Consider the following 26,142-nt stretch of genomic DNA (forward strand, 5'->3'; position numbering starts at 1 on the left):
ACTGAATAAGACAAATTCAAGCTTGGCCCATACATCCTATTCTGATGACAAATCTATGTACACTTGATGAAATATCTAAGCTATTAAGCTAAGGTTAACCTCTATCTTGATTTTTCTTTCAGAATCAAGCATTATGTTTATCAAGGCATGCAAACAGCTCTCTTCAGCTCCCAATCTTACCTGCTGAATCTTCCAAATCAATCAGTTTGGGCATTAAGCTTTCAGGAAGTTTTTCTGGTAAATCATAGCCATTCTTCCTAGCAACCACCAGATGAAAAGCAGCACAAAACTCATCCAGTGTCAATGCACCATCTTTATCAAAGTCTGAGAGTTCCCTAGAAGATAAGTTTATTGTGAATATAATCACATTCCGCTTTGGATCCTTTTATTTCTCAAAAAGAAGCAAGAGAAATATTTTCCATGAGAAAGTGCAAGAACTCAGTAATTATAAAAATCCCATACACAGAAAGATGTGTAATATAGCAAATGTAGCAAAATGTTACCTCCAGAATCTAGGTGGTAGTATATGAATGCTTATGGTACTCTTCTTTAAGCTTTCCTGTGTGTTTGAAATTCTCTAAAAAGCAGCCCCAATAATTAAGGTCACCAAAAAGAATGACCTATAATTCACATGCATTTTTAGAAGGCATACGTAATAAGTTAGTGAAATTTTTCAAAAGTCTGTTTTTATGTTATCAAAATTCACCATGTATGTACTTTATTTTTTGTTTTTATTTTTTTTGAGATGGAATCTCGCTCTGTCACCCAGGCTGGAGTGCAGTGGCACGATCTCGGCCCACTGCAACCTCCACCTCCTGGGTTCAAGTGATTCCCTTGCCTCAGCTTCCTGAGTAGCTGGGATTACAGGTACGCGTCACCATGCCTGGCTAATTTTGGCCAGGCTGGTCTCGAACTCCTGACCTCATGTGATCCACCTGCCTTGGGCTCCCAAAGTGCTGGGATTACAAGCGTGAGCCACCGCACCCGGCTGACATGTACGTACTTTAAATCACTAAGTAGAACTGCAAGGCTTAAAACAGAAATACAGCCACTCCACCTTGCTGTCTATGCCCTTTCCTAGATACAGACAACCACTTTTGTCTTTATTGCCTTAAACTATAAATAGCATGCATATATTACTAGTTTTTGAGTTTTCAGTTTTAGGTGTTATCTACCTACCTTGTACTACAGCACTCTATGCTACCAAAAACCTATTAAAAATGATTTAGAATATAGAGAAATAACATTGATACACACTGGAATTAACATTTATGTTTATCTGATAATCGTTTTTTATTTATTTTTGAGACAGAGTCTCACTCTGTTGCCCAGGCTACAGTGCTGTGGTATGACCTCAGCTCACTGCAAACTCTGCTTCCTGGACTCAAGCAATCCTCCCATGTAAGCCTCCCAAGCAGCCAGGACTACAGGCTTGCACCACCACACCTTGCTAATTTTTTTCTTTTTAATAGAGATGGGGTTTCACCATGTTGCTCAGGCTGGTCTTGAACTCCTGGGCTCAAGCAATCTGCCTGCCTTGGCTTCCCAAAGTGCTGGAATTACAGGCGTGAACCACCACACCCAGTTTGTGTTTTCTTTTTGCTTGTTTTGTTTTTTTGAGACAGAATCTCGTTCTGTCACCCTGGCTGGAGTGAAATGGCACAATCTTGGCTCACTGCAACCTCCACCTCCCAGGTTCAAGCGAATCTCGTGCCTCAGCCTCCCCAGTAGTTGGGATTACAGGCATGTGCCACCATGCCCGGCTAATTTTTCTGTAGAGACAGGGTTTCACCATGTTGCCCAGGCTGGTCTCAAACTCCTGAGCTCAGGTAATCCACCTGCCTCGGCCTCCCAAAGTGCTAAGATTACAGGTATGAGCCACCGCACCCGGCCCTGGCCTATTTTTATAAAGTAATTTGTGATTACACTTTGTGTTCTAATAGCCAATTCGAACCATATTCCAACACAGCTATTCTTAAGTCTCTGGTTAAATGGAAGCTAACACCATTCCTAAACTTATGGCATGGTATAGGACTTACTAAACTTGATAAAAAACCAATGGGATAAATATAACCATGTATGTGCAAACTAACTTTTATCTCATACATTATGCTAGCAACAAAAAAACAGCTGATACAGCTTAAAGAATTTTAGCTCTTTACAAAGAACTACTGTATCAGTATCACTTATTTCTTTTCTGCAGAATAAGAGAGAAGCTGGCTATTGTAAGGCAATACTGAGTTCTTTGACAGCATTCTTGAAGGGGTTAGTTGTTTATTTTTTAAGGCTCTAAAATCTATCTGCTAGAAACTCCTTGGAAGCAACCCAGTTACCCAACTAATGATATACCACACTTACCAAATATGAGAAAGTTCAAGAATAGGAAGTTTTGATTTTGTAAAAAACTCTTTAGCTGCAGATCCTGAAATATTAAAACAGTGTTGTTTAATGTTATTCTGAACTTACGGATCCACGAACAGAATGTAAGAGTCTTAGACTTTTTTAACTGGGAAAAGATATTTTTAATATGTGAATATGTCATGTTTTTGGCCCCCAGTGATTATAAATTCTTTTTAGACAAATAATCTGATAATTATTTTATAATTAAAATCTATGACCAATAAAACAATGTCTTTGATATTATGAAATTGAGATTCTCCTGTCCCATCTAGAAGAACTTCTGTTTTCAACAACTCACCTGGAATAAATCCGTTTAGATCAGGCTGAATGGTTTTAAACTGATTTACATAATACTGTCTTTGTTCATCTGTTATTTTCCAGGGATCATCATAACTACTGGATTGCCTACGAATTTCAATGGCAGTTGTAGCTGATGCTACAGTTCGTACTGTTGTCTGGTCCTGTAATGAAACATTTTTTCCTCAGTACAATATCTACCTACATGATTATATGGACCAAGATTGCTAGGTTATTTATCTTTGAAAGTAAAACTTGCTTTTTGTGTATATTTAAAATGTAAAACCACACATCTGTTACAGTCAGATTATTGGATATGTTTTTGCACAATGATTATAGAAACGAGTAGAATGACAGCAATTATGTAAGCAACAGAAAGTTATGAAAATGTGCTAAGAAAGCCAAGCAAATATATTTCCAGATGCAGAAACCTTTCAAAACTTCACTAGGGAATCAGAAACAGAAATAAAATCAGCTGAAACATTCCAATGATAACAGATTTGAAATGCACAGAGCAGAATTTTGCTTTTAAATAAATGAGTGGATTTGCATTTATAAAATCTGCAACAGCAAAATATAAAAACAACGACTGGAGCAATACTCTGAATGAAGCAAATAAAAATGCAATACCAATAAAATGTCACACCTGGACAGAAGCAGGATGCATGGTTAAAAGAGTACTGGTTGGTGGAGTATCTGCAAAACTGACCCAGTTTTCTTGAGGTGGAGGTGGGGAATGCCCTGACCACACTGCATCACCAGCAGAAGAACCTATAAGGAGAATGGGTAAACATGCTGACTCATGTTTGAGGAAAAAAGTTACTAGGAAGTTTTCTTTCCAACTCTTACTCTGAAGAAATCTAACAATTTCCAAAATGGAATCTTTTCTGTTCTATTAGAAATTATACCTCATTTAAATATCTTCAATTATTTTGTGCTCTCCTTGTCAATAAAATGTATGTAATATATACATAATATTCTGGGAAATAATTATTCATTTTACCTTTAGAGAATCTGGTATCCATAAACTTGTCTAAACATCACAGATACACATAAATGCAATTACCACTTTTCAAAGCAATGTATCCACTTACAAATTTCCATAGTTGGTTTTTGCTTCTATTTAACTTAAACTTACAATTAAAAACTATCTGGGAGGCAACTCCTGAAGGAATATTATCAAGTTTCCTTCAATTTACAACCCTAAATAATTGTTACTTTCAAAAAATCTCTAAGCCAGGTTCTGTGGCACAAGCCTATAATCCCCACCTACTCAGGAGGCTGAGGCAGGAGGATCATTTGAACCCAGGAGTGCAAGACCAGCCTGGGCAACACAATGACACTCTAATCAATCAATCTCTAAATACCTGATTGTGCTTCACCAAAGGGAGACCAAAATGGCCCAGGTCCCGCGAGAGGCCTCTCACTATTCCCACCGCTGGGATGACGGCTGTGCTTCCTCCATGTGTGTGGAGAAGTTGGTGGGGATTGCTGTGGTGAAACTACTGGGGATGCAGGTTCCTAGAAAAGAATATTATTTTAAAATTTTAACTTTAAGGAGACATTTTAATTATTAAGCTACCAATAAGAGCCTTAGTGAAGCATTTGCACAGGGCATCAACTGCTAATATTTACATGCATGTGATTACCTGTGCATCTGCAGATGTACGAGGCTGAACCGTATCATGGCTTACGGATCCCTTTTTCACTTGCCCCCTGCCAGGTGGTGGGGGAATTACACCAGAATACGACCCTTGATTTTCAGAATCTGAAGAATATGAGGCTGCATGGCGAGATTCCTGTTCATTCTTTGAAGCAACAAATCTTGGCAGAGGAAGGTCCTTTACTGTTAACCACAAAATAATCATTACTTCAAAATAAAAAAGGACATATATATTGAAAACTAAAATAAGACATGAATTAGATATTAGAATTTTTGTAAAAATGGATACAGAAACAAGAGGCACAAAATGTCTATCACCACAAAATTTGGACCACCATCTCCCTTACATTATTTAGGGAGACTCTTATCTAGAAAGAAGTAATAAAACCAAATTGTCCTTCTAATGAGTGATAACAATGGCTACATCAAATGTCTACGTATGTTTGGCCCTATACTTGCCACTGAATATTTATTTCACCTCGTAACCACAGTACCCCTGCAAAGCTCCTATTTACAGATAAGAAAACTGAGGCTCCATGATGCCAAGGTCATGCTTGTAGTAACTGACAGTTAAGATATAAACCTAGATCAGTCAGACCCCAAAGCCTAGGCTGCTTCTACTCACACCGGGTCTTTAAAGTAAGATTTTAGACCTCTAAGTAAAACACAGAATATGTCACTAAGTCTGAGACTAGATTTAGAAATTTTCATGGCAGAAATTCTTAAAAATACCTTATTGTTCACCCCCCAAAAATATGGTAGAGTATTCTATCTATCCACTGTAGTCTGGCTTATGTTTCTCCTACAGCCAGATATTCTACATTCAATTTTAAATAGAGGAGAAAGATGAAGGACTGAGAAACTGTTTGCAGGTAAATAAGTGATACTTTTAGACCAGAAAAAATACAGCTACAAAATCATTTCAGAGGAAAGCGTACTTACCTCCATTACATGATTACTTTCGTCTCTGTTTAGAACCTCCACATGAAGGAAGGAAACTATTAAGCTTATTCAATATACATGTAAAAGAATTCAAAATTACCTGAAAAGAATGTAAACTCCCAACACTAGAAGAATGATGTGTGGCAAACTAGAGGTCCACAATGAAAACCTCTACCGACCAATAAACTAAACTGGTACTTAAAACTATTTCTACAAATTCTGATATTTACAGAATTTTACAGAAATTTTTCTGTACAGATTATTTTTAAAATCTTAATTTTTCTCTTTCCCCTTTACTCTATGAAAATGAAAGAACCCTCTGCATTTAAGTGCCTTTCTTTATAGAATTTCTATCTTCTTTCACATCAACAAGCCTCTAAATACTTGAAAAACAAATTATCTGATGTAACACTTCGATATGGTTTGACTCTGTGTTCCCACCCAAATCTCATCTTGAATTGTAATTCCCACATGGGAGGTGATTAGATCATGGGGGCGGTTCCCCCATGCTGCTCTTGTGATAGTGAGCAAGTTCTCATGAGATCTGATGGTTTAAATGTCTGTGGCTATTCCCCCTTGCTCTCTCTCTCTCTCTCTCTCTCTCTCTCTCTCTCTCTCTCCTGTGGCCACATAAGATGTGCCTTGCTTTCCATTTACGTTCTGCCACGATTGTAGGTTTCCTGTGGCCTCCCGAGCTATGCAGAAGTGAGTCAATTAAACCTCTCTTGTTTATACATTACCCAGTCTCAGGGATTTCTTTATAGCAGTGTTAAAATGGACTAATACAAACTTGTAATGTGGTCAGATGTCTATAACTAGATTTTAGTCTGCCAATATTTTAATATTGTCTCTTATCGATCAAAAAGTTTAGGTTAACTGTTACTTCTTAATTTCAACTGAAGCCTCCACAGCCTTCCCAAACAAACAAACAAACAAAAATACAAAGTATAATGTTGTTTTATTGGAAATGAAGAACACAGGGACGCTATACATGAAGATGGTCGCTGTAATTTATCATTTACCTTAATAAAACTATTCGCCTAAAATATTTCTAAACAACTTTTGGTAAATTAATTCTTAAAAAATTGCCATTTGAACAGTACATATAGTCAAATACAGATGAAGTACATATACTATGCCGTAATACAGGTCAGACATATTTTTCTAGTATTTTCAAGTGAGAAATGCAAGGTAGTGGGAATAAAGTCACGACACTTCACTCAAGGTCACAAATGCCACTATAAGATCAGAAAGACACAAGAGTTCTATTGACTTGACTTCATTTGTAATAGAAGCCTATTTTCTTTCGGTTACTAGTGTACTCTATATTTACCTGTATTTATACTTTCCACTCTTAAAGGGAAACCAGACTGGGCAACAGCTACAAGTTTCAAAGCAATGTAGAACTGACTTCTTCCAAAATAACCAAGTCTTGTTGCACCACAAAGCTCCATGATCTATAAAATAACATAATGTTAACATTAAGATTCACAACAAAAATCTCCCTTCAAAAATAAGCAGCTACCCAACTTGTTTGTAACGTCTCAAAATATCTATCTAATAGATGGTATAATACTCACAACTGACAACCAACTTCCTCAAGTTTCAGGTTCATATGTTTACAAACAAAAAGTCACTGCTTTGCAATAAGGTCATCATTCTCCTATTTATCAAAATCCATATGATTAGCAATTTTCTTAGAATAAATTTTTGTTATGAGTCACATTTTTAAAGAAACAACGTACCACCCACTCTTATTCATAAGCACTGCACATACAATAGGACCATGTGACTAAGAGACTATTATGCAGCCATTTAAAGTGACGGTCTTTAAATGATATAACAACATGGAAAAATACTAAGGATTTATCAAGTGGGGAAGAAAGGCAAGATACCTAATTTTAACCACATAAATACAAATTTGGAAACTATTTTTTAAAAGTCTATCACAATTTTTTCAGATGAGATTGAGTCGGGTTTTCCCTCTTATTTTCCAAATGTGTTTAATATGGCTACACTACTCTTCTTTAAAACAAACAAAATTTGTCTTTTTTAGAGCATGAAAGTGTTCAAGGATCTACATTAATCATTCCAGTCTTTCAACAAGTATTTCTAGACTTGCTAGCACAAGTAAATATTAGACTCAAAAAATAGGATTTCAGATTACAAAATCATAACTCTAAAAGCTGGAGGTTTCTACTATGCAGATATTATAATCTTATCTTAAAATAAACACTAGGCATGCCTGTTGTATCTTTTCAAATAACACAAACTTTTGTATAGAGAGAGCAGTTTTAGTCTATTTTTCCATAACACTCAAAGGAAGATAAGGTATCTGAGATGCTGTGGTATTAAGTCTGAATAAAACTATTCACAGGACTTCAAAAAAAGGACCTATTAATGATTAAGCAATTGTATCACAACAATAACAGCCATTTATTTACATACACAAAAAAGAGTCATTTTTGCTGGCTGACCAGCACTGGAAGAAGTTCCTGTTCCTGCCACTAAGGAGCATGTCCTTCTGAAGAAATGTAAAAGGGCAAAGAGAATAAACAGGCAGGTTAACACCATCAAGGGAACTATGAGGAAAAGGGGAGTTTAAAAAGGCAAGGTCATGCAGCCCCAATCCTCTACTCTTCTGCCCACTTGACGCCTCTTAGAGGTTCATTACATATCTTAAATACTTTTGTTTATATAACAATGCAACTAACATATGCCAGGTATATGCTAGACAGAGGGAAGACCTAAAAGGAGATCACAGTATGGTTTGTTGACATTTTGGGAAGACACCAGGGAAATGGTTAGAAATGAGGAGGTAGTGTTCAAGAAGGGAAACAGAATCTCAATGCTGTTTTAATTGGTATTTATTAAAAGTTTTATATTTGTTAGCCATTTGCATTTCTTTTCCTGACTTGCCCAACTTGTTCTCTGGCAACTTTAAATGGACTGTTAATCTTCTTTACTCATTTTAAGAAGTTTTATTGTGGCCAGGGGTAGTGGCTCATGCCTGTAATCACAGCACTTTGGGAGGCCAAGGAGGGCAGATTACTTGGGATCAAGAGTTCAAGACCAGTCTGGCCAACACGGTGAAACCCATGTCTACTAAAAATACAAAAGTTAGCCAGGTGTGGTGGTGCGCACTGGTAATTCTAAGTACTCGGGGGGCTGAGGTGAGAGGATCATTTGAACTCGGGAGATGGAGGTTGCAGTGAGCCGAGATCATGCCACTGCCCTCCAGACTGGGTGACAGACTGAAACTCCATCTCATAAAAAAAAAAAAGGTTTTATTATATTATACATATTGACCTGCAAACTGTCATGGAATTAATTCATTTATTCAATGACTATTTACTGAGCATCCTCAGGAAGGAAAGACCAGAGTGTAGCTGTAAGTGTGTGTAGAATTGATGGGGAGGAGGGAATGCAGCAGATGGAGCTGATGACTTAGGCAGAAACCAGATCATATTGCACATGTTGTTTTCTAGTTTATCTGTTTTTTCCAAAAAAGCTGTTTTGGTGATACAGAATTTTCCAATTTTTATACAAGCTTGTCATTTCCCCTTTAGGACTTTTGGGTTTGCTAGACTTAGAAAAAAGGTCTTTATACATGTTTTCTTCTAGAATGTTTATGATTAATATTGAAAATATACAAGTCTGACCAAACTGGAATTTATTTTGGAATGAGAAACAAATCAGATATCCTTTTGATCCTCCTCAATAGTTAACTATTGAGGCCAGGAGCAGTGGTTCATGCCTGTAATTGCAACACTCTGGGAGGCCAAGGTAGGAGGACTGCTTGAGGCCAGGAGTTCAAGACCAGCCCTGGCAACATGGTGAGATCTCATCTATACGAAAAAAAATTTAGTTAAAAATTAACTGGATGTGGTGGCACATGCCTATAGTCCCAACTACTCAGGAGGCTGAAGTGGGAGGATCACTTTTGCCTAGGAGTTCAAGGCTGCAGTAAGCTATGATGGTTTTACTTCACTCAAGCCTGGGCAACAGAGCAAGACTCTGTCTCCCCCCGCAAAAAAAAAGAATAAGTTAACCATTTATTTAAAAACTCATCTTTTCTCCATTAACTTGAAAAGCAACTGCTATATTTATATGTGCTTATTTCTGGGCTCCTTATGTTACCGTTTTGTATGCTAGTCCTGGAGCTGTAACCCAGTGTTTTAATTACTTTAGCTTTATAATATTTAAACATCTGATAGGATTAGTCCACCCCTCAATTTTTTTGCTATTTAGAAATTTTTGAATTATCCTCATATACTTATTTTTCTAAATAATCCTTAGAATCATTTGTCAGAATAAACTGAGATTTTACTTGGGGCAGCAACTGATTTATGGTCTTGTTCCAAACTTTAACAAGATCATTTCTAGTGTTTTATCATTAAGCATGATACTGGCTAACACTCTGCCAATATCTCTGATTAAAGAAACTCTTAAGGCCGGGCGCGGCAGCTCACGCCTGTAATCGCAGCACTTTGGGAGCCAAGGTGGGCGAATTACGAAGTCAGGAGTTCGAGGCCGGCCTGACCAACATGAAGAAACCCCGTCTCTACTAAAAATACAAAATTACCCGGGCGTGGTGGCACATGCTTGTAATCCCAGCTACTCAGGAGGCTGAGGCAGAAGAATCACTTGAACCCGGGGGGGCAGAGGTTGCAGTGAGCCGAGATCATGCCATAGCACTCCAGCCTGGGCAACAAGAGGGAAACTCCATCTCAAAAAAAAAAGAAAAGAAAAGAAAAAGAAAAGCTAGTTCTAGTTCTGTTGTTCTTCTAATAATCTTGTTTTGGGTTTTATATTTTCAAAAACCACATAAAGATGTTAATTTTATCATATGCAGATTTTGCACAGAAAACTAAAAGATCATAATTTTTCTCTTTGGTCCATTAATAAGTATATCAATAAGATATAAGAGATTAAGTATATTAAGATATAAGTAAGTATATTAACAGATTTCCTAACATAGAACCTTCCTTTGATTCCTGGAATGAATTTCATTTAGACGTGGTGTATTACTTTTTCAAATAATATTTATAAAATATTTTAACCACAATCTTAGAACAATTAAGTTTTAAAGCATACATAATCTTTGCCGTGCTTTGGAGTTGGTGTTATATTGGCTTTTTCAGCAGAGCTCGCAAACTACTTTTTTCTCTCTGCTCTGTAATACTTTAAATAGATTAGGAATTAGGTGTTTCATGAAGATTTGAAATAATTCACCTGTGATACAGGTGAGGCAATAGCTCTCATATGTTTTTCAGTTTCTTCCATTCTATCTGAAATAAGCTAGGTTTACCATCTCTAAGATTTGATAATTTCCTAGAAAATCATTTATCATCTCCAAATTTTATAATTTCTTAGCTGAGCATCATTCAAAGCAGCCTCATTCTTTTAATCTCCTTTCTATAGTGATTTCCACTTAATCTTAATTGTGCATATTTGTATGCAGTTCACTTTTTCTCTAGCACAGTTATCTGACCATGGGAACCACTTGAAATACCTGTTAGGATATAGATTCCCGAACTGCTCCCATTAGATTTCTAACTCACCAAGGAAATCTAAATCACCAAGGGCCAGTTAGTGATTGTTGCTATAATACTGAAAACTACCATGCTTTGTTTTTTTAATGTTATAAAATGTACATGCTCATGGTAAAATAAAATAGTAGTTAAGGATATAGAATTTAAAGTTCCTACATCCCCATCAGACGTAACAATTCCTCCTAGCCAGGGCAATTAGGGAAGAGAAAGAAAGAAAGGGCATCTGAACTGGAAAGGAAGAAGTCAAATTGTCCCTGTTTGCAGGTAATATGATCTTATATAAATGGAAAAATCTAAAGACTCTACCAAAAAACTCTCAGATCTGATAAACTCAGTAAAGCTGCAAAATAACAAAACCAATATACAAAAATCAGTAGCATTTTTTTTTCTTTTTTTTTTTCCTCTGAGACAGAGTCCTGCTCTGTCACCCAGAGCTGGAGAGCAATGGCGCGATCTCAGCTGACTGCAACCTCCACCTCCTGGGTACAAGCGATTCTCCTGCCTCAGCCTCCTGAGTAGCTGGGATTACAGGTGTCCACCAATACCCCTGGCTAATTTTTGTATTTTTAGTAGAGATGGAGTTTCACCATGTTGGCCAGGCTGGTCTTGATCTCCTGACCTCAAGTGATCCGCCTGCCTCAGTCTCTCAAAGTGCTAGGATTACAGGCATGAGCCACCACACCCAGCCTACAGCCAAATGATTTTTGACAAAGGTGCCAAGAACACTCATTGGGGAAAGGACAGTCTCTTCAATAAACAGTGCTGGGAAAACTGGATATCCATATGAAATATGGAGATACAGACAGATAGTTTTTTGTTTTTGTTTTTTTTTTTTTGAGACACAGTTTCTCAAAAAACTCTTGTCACCCAGGCTGGAGTGCAATGGCACAATCTCGGCTCACCACAACCTCCACCTCCTGCGTTCAAGCGATTCTCCTGTCTCAGCATCCCAAGTAGCTGGGATTACAGGCACGTGCCACCACACACAGCAAATTTTGTATTTTTAGTAGAAATGGGGTTTCTCCATGTTGGTCAGGCTGGTCTCGAACTCCTGACCTCAAGTGATCTGCCCGCCTCAGCCTCCCAAAGTGCTGGGACTACAGGTGTGAGCCATTGCGCCAAATTATATATTTTATGAATGAAATTAGATGCCTACCTCTCACCCTATATAAAAATCAACTCAAAATGCATCTAATACCTAAATATAGCACCCAAAATAATAAAACTACTAGAAGAAAACAGACAGGAAATGCTTCGGTACATCAGTGTGGACAAATATTTTATAAATAAGATCTCAAAAGCATAGGCAACAAAAGCAAAAATAAACAAATGGGATTGTATCAAACTAAAAACTTCTGCACAGCAAAGAAAGCAATCAACAGAGTAAAAGACAACTTACAGAATGGGAGAAAATATCTGGAAACTAACCATCCAACAGAAGATTAATATCTAAAATATACAAGGAGCTGAAATATCTCAACAGCAAAAAACAAAACAAAACAAAACTGATTTTTAAATGGGCAAATGATCCCAAATCACATTTCTCAAAGGAAGTCATATGCATGGTCAACAAATACATGAAAAACTGCTCATCACTATTAATCATCAAGGAAATGCAAATCAAAACCACAATGAGGTATCATCTCACCCCAGGGAGGCTGGCTATTATCAAAAAAAAAAAAAAAAATGCTGGCGAGGATGCAGAAAAAAGGGAACTCATATACTTTTGGTGGGAATGCAAACTAGTTATAACCACTATGGAGAACAGTATGAGGTCCCTCAAAAAGCTACAAATAGAACTACCATATGATCCAGCAATCCTACTACTGAGAATTTATCCAAGGAAAGGAAATTATTATATCAGAGAGACACTGCACCCCCATGTTTACTGTGGTACTATTCACAATAGCCAAGATATGAAATTAACCCAGGTGTCCAACAACAGATGGGTGGATAAAGAAAATGTGCTATATAATATATACCATGGAATACTATTCAGCCATAAAAAATGAAATCCTGTCATTCATGGCAACATGGATGGAACTGGACGACATTGTGTTAGGTGAAATAAAATCCAGGAACAGAAAATTAAACTCATATGTGGAAAAAAAAAAAAGTTGATCTCATAGAAGTAAAAAGGAGAACAGAGTATACCAAGGCTACGAAGGGTAGACAAAGGGAGGAATAAGGAGAGATTTGTTAAGGGACACAAAATGACAACTAGATAGGAGGAATAAGTTCCACCACTCTAGGATGGCTATAGTTAACAATAATATATAGTTTCACATAGCTAGGGGAAGGATACTGAATGCTCCTAACACAAAGAAATGATAAAATGTTTGAGATGATGGATATGCTACTTACCCTGATTTCATCACTATACATTGTATTAGGGGTATCCAATCTTTTGGCTTCCCTGGGCCACACTGGAAGAAGAACTGTTTTGGGCCACATATAAAATACACTAAAACTAACAATAGATGATGAGCTTAAAAAAAAAAAAAAAAAGAATCCCCCAAAAAATTTCATGATGTTTTAAGAAAGTTTACAAATTTGTGTTGGGCTGCATTCAAAGCTATCCTGGGCCACATGCAGCCAATGGGCTGCAGGCTGGACAAGCTCACATTATATATTTGAAACATCACTCTGTATCCCAGGAATATGGACAATTATTAATTCTTTTAAATAAAATGAAAATAAAAGGTGATTACATAAGACAGGTAACTTTTTAATCCCAAGGTATCCTATTAGCTATGCAATATAAATCTGAAAGCAACTTGTAATAAAGCTACCACATTGGTAAACTTAAAGTAACACTTCCTTTCATATACTCTAATTTTTTTCTACATGTACACAAACACACAAGCACACATAATACATACATCTTACACAGGTAGGGTCACTGTACATTATTTTTTCATATATTACTCAAAGATTTTTCTCTATCCGCATACATCTTTTTTTATAAAGCATTTCATTGTGTGGATGGATGCACCTATCACAAATTAACCAATCCTCTACTGATGGATATTTAGGTTTTCCCAGTGTTCTATTACAAATAATATTGTAAACATTTTTGTGCATGTCTTTGTGCACTTGTACAACTATAGAACAAATCTTTAGAAATGGAATATGCTTTAAATATATAACATAGTCCATCAGGTATGATGGCTCACACCTGTAATCCCAATATTTTGGGAGGCTGAGGCAGGAGGATTGCTTGAGGCCAGCATTTCAAGATCAGCCTGGGCAACATGGTGAGACCCTGTCTCTACAAGAAATATACATATAAGCAGGGTGTGATGGCACACCTGTAGTGCTAGCTACTAGGGAAGCTGAGGTAGGAAGATCATTTGAGCCCAGGAGCTCCAGACTGCAGTGAGCTAGGAATTGTGCAGCTTGGGCAACAGAATTAAACCCTGTCTCTTTAAAAAAAAAAAAAAAAAGTGTGTGTGTGTGTGTGTGTGTGTGTGTGTGTAAATAACAGTCAAGTACTAAAAACTATGAGTGACTATTACATCTAACTGACCAGCACAAAATCCTGGCTCTGTGGTCTGAGACAAGAGAGGGAAGTTAATGTTTTCCTTAACTTTACTGGCTTTACCAAGGAATATCAGCCCAGAGAAGTCAGTACTGACTTCTTTTCTAAATGTTTCATTCCATAATATTTACCAAAAAGCCACTAACTTCTAGGAAAAAAGATAAACTAGACTGTAGTTCACTTAACACCTGTACAGATCAACATGGCTAGGAAATCATGGTTTATGTCATTCATACAGTATTTGAGCAAGAACCTAACTTTACTGTGCCTCAGTTTCTTCATATATTAACTGAGGAAAATAATACACTACCTCCTTCAGTTGCTGTGAGCATTCAATGAGGCTGTATTCAATAAAGCACTTCAAAAAGTATCTGGCCCAGAAATATTATTATTACTTTCCATTTACTACCCTGATCATAGTGGACTTTATATAGTTAGAGACTTCAGAGACTAAGTTATTTTTGAAAACCACATTTTCTTGAGAGCCAAGAGTTAACGCCTTTATGCATTAATATGAGTGTTATAATTTCTGATGGAAAGCCTTCTAAAATATAGGACGCTCTCATGTCTTCCTAAGTATTTGCAACTTCTGAACCCAGGATTTTACCTGCTCTGCCTTCAGGACTCTCATTATAATGACAGTAAGGGAATAAACCCACAATAATAAAGAGGAAGTTAGCTGACAGAAAATTTCAATAAATTTTTGCAATTAGAAAACAGAATAGTGACTAATGAAATAAGGTAGAAGAAATGAGTGCCAAGAATACCCATGGAGAAGAAACAATTTGCCCAACAAAATCCAGAGACTCACCCAGAAATGCTAGGTATGACTAGGGATGGGACTGGGACAGAGAACGAAGATCCCCATCTCCACTGCTGCTCACAGTTACTAGCAACCAGACCCTACCCTCCAAACAAAAGCAAACAAACAAGCACTGGATGGCATACCTAAAAGAATGAAACGTTAGAGAAAAACTAGGACAGCTGGTATAGACTTTGCTGTTGCCCCTGGTAAGTCTTTCTAGAACTTACCGATCCCAATTAAGAATGAGCACCTGACCCACCCCACCTAAAAGAAAAGACAGCCTTTTAAGAAGCTATTCCCTGCCCCCTCAAAAAAAGATAAGCTATACCCAAGTACACAGAACTCAGTCAGTTTTTCTATTGCCTCATCCTTAAATATGAACAGCTTACCAAAGATCAGTAAGCACCTGGGGAAAGCCTATAAAGTTGAAGAGGACTGCCAAATTTACAAACAGAAAAAAAAAACCACACAGAGGGAAAGAATCTTAAAAATACTCTAGTGCCTGTTCTGATAGATTTTAGAAAATACTCCATTTGTAAAACAAGAACAAGATACTATGTTAAAAGAACCATCAGAGAACAAGATATCTTGAAATTTACAAAGCTCAATAGAAACACTAGAAGATAAAATAGAGAAAAATGTCTCCAGAAGTAGGAATATTAAAGATAAATTAGAAAAATACAAAAAAAAAAGAATTCATCTAGAAGGACCAAATTTTTATTAAAATAAGGTCTACAAATACAGAGAAAATAGAAGAGTAAATCATTAAAGTAAGAGATTTTGCCCAAAGCTAAAGGACACAAGTTTTAAAGATTGTGAAGATCCAGAGTGCTCAAAATGAACCAAAAAAATTCCTAAACACATTACTGTGAACTTCAGAACAGCAAGGAGAAAACAAAGATCCTAAAACATTTAGAGATGGGGGAGAACATTAGAAATGGCGGAGAAGTGTTAATCATGTAAGAAATATCGAGTAGACTAGAATGAGACTTAGCAGTAACACTGAATATCAGAAAACAATAAAGCAATATCCAGAGAGTTCTAAGTAAAAAAATTTTCAACCTAGAATTCTATCCAAACTATCAAGATCATGGAAAGAATGGACATTTTCAACCAGGCAGAAACTTTTAAATGTTTATCTCCTGTGAACCCATTCTTGGAAAAATATTGAAGGATGTCATTCAGCAAAGTGTGAAGACACAGCTTCCAGGAAAAAGTAGATACATGCCAAGAAAACAGAGAAAAAAAGTTGCAGGATGTCAGCTATGCAACCGGCCTACAGAGCAACCACTCCAGATCAAAGTGCAATGACAGAAGTCTCCAGGAGGAAGCTTTCAGGAAAAATAAAGAGGAAGAAGAACTCAACGGCTATGAAGGCAAACTGTGAGAAAAAACAAAAGACAGTTAAGAAACCCCAGGGGAAAAGCTGTAATCATAGTACAATACTGAATACTTGGCTCTGCCATGAAAATATTTATATAGTCATCACATGAATATTTTTGGTTCATTTTCAACTTTTAGATTCAACCTAAAGTCAAAACATATTAAACAATTAATTATGGTTACAGAACAATATAAATGTTATTAATATTACATATGTGAAAGTACCACTAAGAAACCGAGTGGGAGAAGTATAAGAAAGGTCAAAGGAAAAGGCATTGGCTCACATTCTCAACTTAGAAAAGTGTTAACAGGACAAGAAGAAAGAAAAGTTTCAAAGGTAACAGAGAACCTGACATAAAATTTGAGGGAATACAGAGAAGTAACTTGAGTGAAATCTTCATTTACTTTCTATATTTGGATAATGTCTATAACTGATAAACCTACATAAAGTGGAGTTTTAAGAGATATGGAAGTAATCACTGAAGAAAGAGTTTAATAAGTTCGAAGTGGTTTTTGCAGGAAACAACACTAAGCAGTACAGGAAAAGGGAAAGTAGAGGAAATGGTTGCTTTTTATTGTTAAGTTCTTGTGAACTATCTGACTTTTTAAAACCATGAGCAGAAATTATTTTTATGGAAACCATTTTTACTTTAAGTTCCAGGATACATGGCAGAACGTGCAGGTTTGTCACATAGGTATATGTGTGCCATGGTGGTTTGCTGCACCTATTGACCTGTCCTCTAAGTTACCTCCCCTCGCCCCCCACTCCCCAACAGGCCTGGTGTGTGTTGCTCCCCTCCCTGTGTCTATGTGTTCTCACGGTTCAACTCCCACTTATGAGTGAGAACAAAAGCATATAGATTTTTGACAATGCAAATTTTGTAAACATATTAGTACATTGTAGTATACTGCAATTATGTATTCAGGGCCTTAAAAAAAGTAGAATGTTTTTCTTTCACATAATGGAATAACACTATTAACAGTTTTTGTTTTGTTCTTTGTAATAATCTGTGACTTTTTTCTTGTTGCCAAACTATCGTTTTTTGCTCTATCAGCAGTCTCTAGTTGTTGCCCTTTTGCCTTGTATGCCATAGGCTTAAAAACAGAAATGAGTTTTTAAAACTATAAAACAAGAATAGTTCCTTAATAAGGACCCAAAGAACTCTCCAAGGAGAAAATTACATGAGCATCTATTTTTACTTCCAGATATAATGGAGTAGAACTGGTACTATCATTTTACAGAGGAAAAAAGAGAAAAGCAACTTGCCTAAGGCCAGAGGGCCCAATAAACGGCAGAGTTATAATAAAAATGTATGCCTTTCTTCTTCCACCATGACATGCTATACCTGGTCTTTTTGCCAGGATAATGTCAGCTTCCTCAGGGCAAGTACCCCCAAGAAGTCCTGAAGCATGTTTTGATTTTCCACATTGCTTAGCACATAGTGACAGCAAAGAGTGGTTAAGTGCATAGTGAGGTTCTCTGTTCCTATGCCCAGAATGAGACTGCAGGGAACGCTAAGAACAATAAAGGTACACGGAAGCTACTTCTTATTCCTGGTGAGAAAAAACCGAAGTCAAGTAGATGCTCAATTACATGTAAGAGCCTGAATCCATGAGCTGAATCACAAAACAAAAAAACTCAAAAGACACAATGACGAATGCATTGGAACTATACACAATACTGAGATAAGCTGCCAATATCCTTTCCAAAATGAAATTTTATGAATGAGTTTAATAAAATGGAATCAAAATTAGGATCTTCCCTTTTCAGTCATTAATAGGTTAAAAATGAGAAGTTTATTCTACCGCTTTCATTTTTGTAAAAATTATTCAGTTTAAATGGAACGGGGTCAGTGGGCATGCTATGTTTTTTGGTGCCTTAAAAGCCTAGTCTGATCGACTTATAAATGTACAACACTGGCTAGCCAGTCACTATAACTTCTATTGTTCTACTAACTTGTTAGACTAGGCCCCACAATTCTGACTCACTAACTTAAGTAACATGGGAATCCTTGTAATGAAGATTCACATCTACAATAAAGGAGGGAACAATTATAGCAAATACCTATTATTAGGAATGTTTACTTGTTATTCTACTTAATGTTCAGAACAATCCTCTAATGTTGGCTACCATTATCCCCAGTTCATAGGAAAGAAAACTGAGGCTAGTAAGTGGCAGAGTAAGGATTCAACGCCAGAGTAGTCTGAAGACTCCCTGTTCCCACATGCCTCCAAGACATAGCTAGACAGAACTTCAACCGTGCTTGCTTATGGAGTAGTAGTTTCAAAATGTATTCCAAACAACACCAGTCCAGTTAAAGGTTCTGTAGTCGAGTAAGTTGAGGTATATAACAGCCTCTTTGGAGACTTCAGAATGCATTTTTAGCCCACAAGAAGTAATTTTAAAAAATCTTACCATCTAGAAACAAACCCCCTTTTGGTTTAATACCTACAAAAATGCTTTAGAGCCAATGGTCTATGTATCAGAGGCTCTATATAAAACACTTTGGGGTTCAATGTTGTAGACTCTAGAGCAGTGATTCTTAGTAATTTTGGTCTTAGGATCCCTTATACATGCTTTAAAAAACTATTGAGGACCCCTTTCCCTAAGTTTTTGTTTTTGTGGGTTATATTTATTGATATTACCATATGAGAATTTAAAACGGGAAATAAAAAAGTATCAATAAATTCATGTAAAACAACAATAATCCTATCACATATAACACAGTTTTATACAAATAACTATTTTCCAAAACTGAAAAAAAAAAATCAAGTGAGAAGAGTGTATTATTTTACAAATGTGCAAATTTCCTTAATGTCTAGCTTAGGAAAAGGTTCTCTTATCTGCCTTTGTATTCAATTTATTGGGATATGCTGCTTCGTTTAAAGTGTAGAGGAAATTCACACTTTGCACAGATACATGCTGGAAAAGGAGTATTTAGATAGCTTTTTAGGTAATTTTGATGATTATTCTTCGATACTACATCAAAATTCAACAAGTGGTAGTTGCTTAAAGGTTAATTTCAATATAAATCCGAAACCACATCAAGAAACTTTTCTAAATGTGACGTATTTTGCTTGTAAAATATTTTACAAATCACATTTCTTAATATCACTACTGATCTCACCAGAAAAGTCATTAAGTATTGGGAAGTATCGCACATGGTAGCAGATAAAAGTTCTTTAAAACTATAATTTTCATTGGAAAGCGTGAATTTTATCATTAGCAACAAAGAACATCACCCGTTTTCCTTAAATGGCAGGCCCACTTCCTTCATTTTCAAGAAACTGTCTGCCCAATACCTAAGTCAGCTATTCTTTCAAGAAAAATGATGTTCATGAAAAAAGTAGTTACTTTAGCTCTCAACACACACAATAATTTAAGTACTTCTCAAGATAGGCATTATGGAACCAAAGTGTTTTATTCACATTTAGCATTTTATCACATAAAATATTAAAAAGATGTATGCTTAGGGTCAAATTTTAATAAAATTAGTATTTTTTATTGCTACTCAAAGGGCATTATTTTTTTGTCGCCCAGGCTGGAGTGCAGTGGCACGATCTCGGCTCACTGCAAGCTCCACCTCCCGGGTTCACGTCATTCTCCCGCCTCAGCCTCCCTAGTAGCTGGGATTACAGACGCCCGCCACCACGCCTGGCTAATTTTTTTGTATTTTTAGTAGAGACGGGGATCCAGGATGGTCTCGATCTCTTGACCTCGTGATCCACCTGCCTCGGCCTCCCGAAGTACTAGGCATGAGCCACCATGCTCGGCTCAAAGGGCATTCTTAAGTGAAACTGCTTGGCAGTCCAGCATACAATATTAGCACAGTCTGGTGCTACTGCCTTATTTGTGCTAAGAAACCGAAAGTTTTATCTGCCATGACTTTTACACCAACAATGCAAGTGTCAGCGCAGTAAAAAAGGTAATTAATAATAGTATTGTTATGAAAATAACTTTGACCCCACAGACCAGGGTCTGGAGACCATACTTTGAGAAATGTTATTACAGAGTAAAAATAAAGGACAGTGATAGAAGGAATTCTTGGTTTTGATCCCATCACTGTGTACTACACCTCCCTTAAAGCAGCCACTGAAAACCATGCCTTATGGGAGCAAGCAATTAATATGAATTAGCAAAACTGGCAAGGTGAGGAAAGTAGTGAACTAAGGAGTGCAGGTGTAAAGGAAGCAGCTGCTATTCAACTCTAGCTGACTGCTGCTATTGAAGAATACTTGCCTAATGACACCATGAAGAGATTTTTCTAAAGTTGGATACACGGAATTTTCTATAATATATTCCCATTTTCAAGTGCTAGTGTGGAGTCAAAATAATTTTTTAAAATATGCAGACCAAACACAACACTTGGACCACCTACTTGCATCTTCTGTCCCAAAGGTATTCACAATACTGGAAAAATGGCAATAAAATAAATGGCAAGACTGCAATAATGTCCCTTTGTGTCCTTTAGCAAGTAGGTTAAGGGCAGGGTGGGAAAGAAGGGTAAAACCAAGTTTCATGAAAGATAATCTTACATACAGGCATTATTATATATTAACCTCCCTTCCCAATGATACAATGGTCCTAGAGAGTTTCAGCTGCCTAAGACACTGGATGCCCAGAAAAAAAAATTATTCTAAGGCCATCAATGAATTATTACATATTTTTTATATATATAAAATATAATAGCTTTATATAAGATCTTGTTATCTGGCAAAATGACTCAAGGTATTAAGACAACTGAGTAGTAACCAAGGGAAATTAATTACTAAAAAATACATTATCTCATCCTTCACCAGTATGTCAGTACAGCCCTTAAATACATATTCCAATAGAATAAATAATACAAGAATTCTAAAATACCTCTTCCCTTCTTTCTTCAGTAAGTCAAGACTGCTTCACACTTGCTGTATCTTCAGTATGTTTTCCCCTCAGACCTCTCCTGTCATTCAGGTTTCACCTTAAATGTCATGCTTTCAGAGGCCTTCCTTGAGCACTCTACTGTTATTTATTGTATGTCTCCCAAAAGAATGAGAGTCCAGAGAATAAGGAAGGCCTCTTATATTCCCAGCACCTAGACCAACTCCTGACGCACAGTGTCAATATATATTTGTTGGTTGGATGAATGAAATGTTATTTATGATTAATTTTTCTGCGGTCCCTCTCCACTCCTACACACAGGCTACAAGATTAACAGTCCTAAAGTATAGCTCCATATAACTTTATTGTATTTTAAAGAACAAACTTCTAAGTTCAGCATTCAAGATTCTCCATAATGTATAACCCCAATCTTCCTCCCCAAACTTACTTTGGCCAACCTAGATTGGGCTATCCTACCTCTGGGTGACACAGCAAGACTCTATCTCGAAATAACTAACTAACTAACTAACTAAATAAATAAATAAATAATAAAATTACACCCTTCCTTCATTCATGATACATCTTAAGACCTACTTCCTTCCTGTAACATTTTCTATCCATCCCACTCCATAACCAAATGATCTTTTCTTTCTCTGTGCTAGTACCCGAACTTTTACCATTTGAGTTACTAGTATTATCCATGTATTATGTTAACCACACCACACATTCCGTACCCACATTCCCTTCCACTAAGCTCCTTGGGGGCAGGACTATGGCTTAGGTACACTGAAATCCACTGCAAGGTCTGGCAATGTTCTTTGCACATGGTAGGCACTTAATACCTATTGAAGGGAATTGCTCCCTGTCATGCCCATACCCTCCTGATTTACCGAATTCACTGTTAGCCTTCATTTGAATCAACCCCTTCTTACTTGGAAAGATCATGTTCACCATTTCTTTAAAAATTAAACATTTTCTAATAATAAACAATGTTTGCTTTGTCCAAGTGGTTTTGATTACACACAATCCATGCACACCTTTACATCATCTTCAGCATTGAAGTACACTGTTAGAAAAGTTCAAGGAAAAACAATCAGTGGCAAAGAGGATGGACACACGCCAAAGCCCCGTCATTCCAAAATGGCTGTTTCCTTTCTGCTATCAAAACAGAATATGTTTAGCTTCGGGTACATACTAATCTCTAATATTTTCTTTCCTTACAAAAACAACTTCATTTCAATACTTAGCACAATCCAACAAACAAGAGGGTAATTCATATCTATTACTGTATTCATAAGCCATGTATATATTCCTCAATGACTCTTGCTATGCCTTACTGACCAACCCCACTGCCAACTCCCTCTTAAACTCCTTTCTAAAGTGAAATGCAATCATTTCAACCCTTTTGAGATACTTATCAGTTATATTAGAGCAAATAGCTCATCTCACTTTCACTACATTTCTCATCTAAAACTTTTAACTGCTCATTGCTTTGCTTACACAACTCAAATGCTCTTTGATTTCAAGCCTGCACACCAAGACCACATTGCTTCTTTCCTACCTGCCATGATTTTATCTTAACACTTATGTAAACAGACATTCTCTTGTTTTTTTTTTCCTACCTTTCACCCAAACTCCATTTTACTTATCTATAACTTCCATTTTACATTTCAACCACTTTCCTACCTCAGTGAGGGAAAATTCTCCAGGTCTTTCCCCCAACACTATGTCCTTAGGTAAAATTAACTGTCTATATGTTATGATGTTGACGTAATGATGTCCATTATTTTATAGAACTTGAAAAATAAGAAATATATAAAATTCATCATAGAAGAATTACTACAGCTAAATAGTAACATTAGACTTTTCTGGAGCCCTTACTGTATATTAGGTACTTTAACACAGAAATATTAGAACCACATGCACACACAAAATAAGTATGTTAATTAACTCAATTTAGCCATTCCACAATGTATACATATTTCAAAATATGTTGTATAATATATACAATTTTTGTCAGTTAAGGAAAAATTTTAAAAATAGACAAGAAAAATTACATAAGTACGAGATAAGAATTTCCTTTCTATACAAGTATTAGTATATAAATATAAAAACAGTATATTTCTCAATACAAAAAAAAACCCTAGAAATGTCTTCTGTAACTTTTCAGCACAGAAAGTTCAAATATATATACATATTCTTCTTCCTCTACTAATATTTTCATAGACATTCATCAAGAGAACTCACCATCACAATATAGATTACTGCTATATGACCTAGAAGCTTCTTAATATTTGGAGGGTAGAATTCACTCTATCTGCTATAGAAGGGAATCATAAAGAATGGGTTCAGTCAAACAACCAATGTAAGGGGACTGAAGCAGCTTAAGAAGTTTATAGTTCTTGACTTCAATTTCTGCATAGTATATGTGGTTAAAGAGATTCTCCTTAGCAATATGTGATTCCTGGTTCTTTAGCTATAAATTCTTGCTTTAGGAAATATAAACTCCCACTGTCAGTCTACTCTGATAAAAGTAGTACATACAGGCCAATAAATATTTTACTGCTCATAATCAGTCTCACTGTCATTGTTATCTAAACAAATAAAACACTTCTGATAGCCTCAAACATAAGAACTCCAATGTGAAAAATAGTATGACTACTTTTAAAGTTTGATAGTTTGATTCAGGTCTCAAATTCCCAATTAAAATAATTATTTGTATTATCTACATTAACAATGACAACAACAACAACGACAAAAAGGCTTTAAAAAAAAAACAAATAAGATTAAAGGTAAGAAAGGAGAAAAACCACAAATACGCAAAAGTAGTTTGAAAAATACTACAACCACCTAAAACTGAAGCTTGAAATAGTACTAGTTGCCTTTAGAAAATACGATAGGGTATGGAGATAGTCCAATAAAATTAATTTGATCACTATCGTATACTTAGGGTGATCATAAAATTTACATCCAAACTGAGACATGTGTAGAGTGAAAGAGGCACTGTTTATAATTATGCCTAAACAAGAGGCATAAACCAGGACTGTCTTAAGCAAACCCAGACATAATTGCTTGTAAAACTCATTGAAGATAAATAATCCCATTCAACCAATAAAGTGTGTAAGGTGACATGGAAAGACAACACCTGCAACCTGTTGCCTTACAACATGCCACATAAAATATTAATGTTTTGATTAAGGAGTAGTATTTTTCAAGAACCAGTTACTAATAATCAAACCTCTCTTTTCTTACATTGAAACTTGATTATTCCAGAACCACAATGACTCCTAATCAGAAATTTTAAAAAATAATAAAAGTTTACAATAAAACATTTAAACACAGTGGGCCAGGCATCATTTTAAGCACTTTATAGCTCATTTAATCATCTTAGCCCAGAAGGACAGAGATTTCTATCCTATTTTACAGATGAGAAAACTGAAGTACAGAGAGGCTCAGTAATTCGCCCTGGTCACAGTAAGTGATGAAGTTGAAGATTCCAGAGTGTGTTCTTACCAACTGTACTATGTTGCCACTATTGCTCCTCTAGTGGGAGAAGCAGGAGCCCACAATTATTCCTAAGTGCACAGAATACAGTGGAGCTCTCAAGTATCTCAAGTGAGTAGAACCGTGGTTAAATAGAGTTAAGCATGATATAATTTCTGGTATATATTTGTTACCACTGGTCAAGCAGGAGCAAATGGGACAGGGAAATTTCTTTACTTATAATATGATAAAGAGAAACCCATTCCACTGTTAGGATAATGTACTACACCCGTGCTATGGGTTATCACAGGGTGAGAATGACAAAAAGATGATTATTATAATAATGACAAGCATTAACTGTGCACACACAATGTGTCAGGTACTGTCCCAAACTCGTAACGTGTTAACTAACCTAATCATCCTAACAACCCTATGAGGTAGGTACTGTTTTATAGCTGAGAGAACTGACCATACTTGCTCAAGGACACACAGCAAGTGACAGAACTTAGATTGAAACCCATGCTCTTTGTCACTTCATTATTTTATAAGGGATCATATTTGCCCAGTAGTACATTCATCTAATAAGCTGCATTATAACAGTTTTAGTATGTTACATCATAAAACACGAGTTGTTAAGTTTTTGGTTGGAAGGCCGCAGAACCAAGTTTTGATAGGTGTCATATTTCTCAAGCTTCTGCCTAAAAAAAAGAAAACGGTGAATTTTATCTCTAAGGTCCCTTCTAATACAAATATCATTTCTCTGAATGCAAATTTCCTTACATTTCATATAACTACAATACAAACTACCTGCTGAAAACATCTGCTATGGTTTGAAGATACGCTTTAAACCACAGGCTATGGTTTGAAGTTCATGCTTTGGAAATTTAATCTCCAATACAACAACAGTGTTGAGAGGCAGGACCTTCAAGAGGTGATTAGGTCACAAGGGCCCTGCCTTCGTGAATAGATTAATGTAATTTATCACAGAAGTTGATTCATTATGAAAGGCAATTGGGCCCGCTCCTGCGCATGCAATTGTGCTCTCTTGCCCTTCTGCTTTCCATCATGGGATAATACAACAAGAAGGCCCTAGCCAGATATGAGCTCCTCGACCATGGACTTCCCAGCCCCCAGAACTGTAAGAAATAAACTTTTTTTTCATTACCAATTACCCAGTCTATGGTATTCTGTTTAAAATAGCAACATAAAATG

The 26,142-nt window shown here is 36.4% G+C and overlaps 1 protein-coding gene across 19 annotated transcripts in view; it reads right to left on the reverse strand.

Annotated features, from left to right (window-relative positions):
* Positions 1-26,142, reverse strand: part of REPS1 (RALBP1 associated Eps domain containing 1) — an 84,761-nt gene that overhangs the window by 37,662 nt on the left and 20,957 nt on the right. For 13 of the 19 annotated variants that reach the window (NM_001286612.2, XM_047419432.1, XM_005267179.5 and 10 more), the window contains exons 2-8: positions 6,636-6,759; positions 4,347-4,543; positions 4,065-4,218; positions 3,344-3,468; positions 2,699-2,861; positions 2,359-2,422; positions 181-335 (exon numbers count right to left, since the gene is read on the reverse strand). In NM_001286612.2, coding sequence (NP_001273541.1) covers positions 181-335; positions 2,359-2,422; positions 2,699-2,861; positions 3,344-3,468; positions 4,065-4,218; positions 4,347-4,543; positions 6,636-6,759 — 982 coding nt within the window. Of the gene's footprint in view, positions 1-180; positions 336-2,358; positions 2,423-2,698; positions 2,862-3,343; positions 3,469-4,064; positions 4,219-4,346; positions 4,544-6,635; positions 6,760-9,887; positions 11,215-26,142 lie in introns of those variants that run through there. The other 6 variants (XM_047419433.1, XM_047419434.1, XM_017011389.2 and 3 more) reach the window with 2 other exon arrangements.

The sequence above is a fragment of the Homo sapiens genome, chromosome 6 (assembly GCF_000001405.40).
Source record: "Homo sapiens chromosome 6, GRCh38.p14 Primary Assembly".
Classification (NCBI taxonomy): Eukaryota; Metazoa; Chordata; class Mammalia; order Primates; family Hominidae; genus Homo; species Homo sapiens.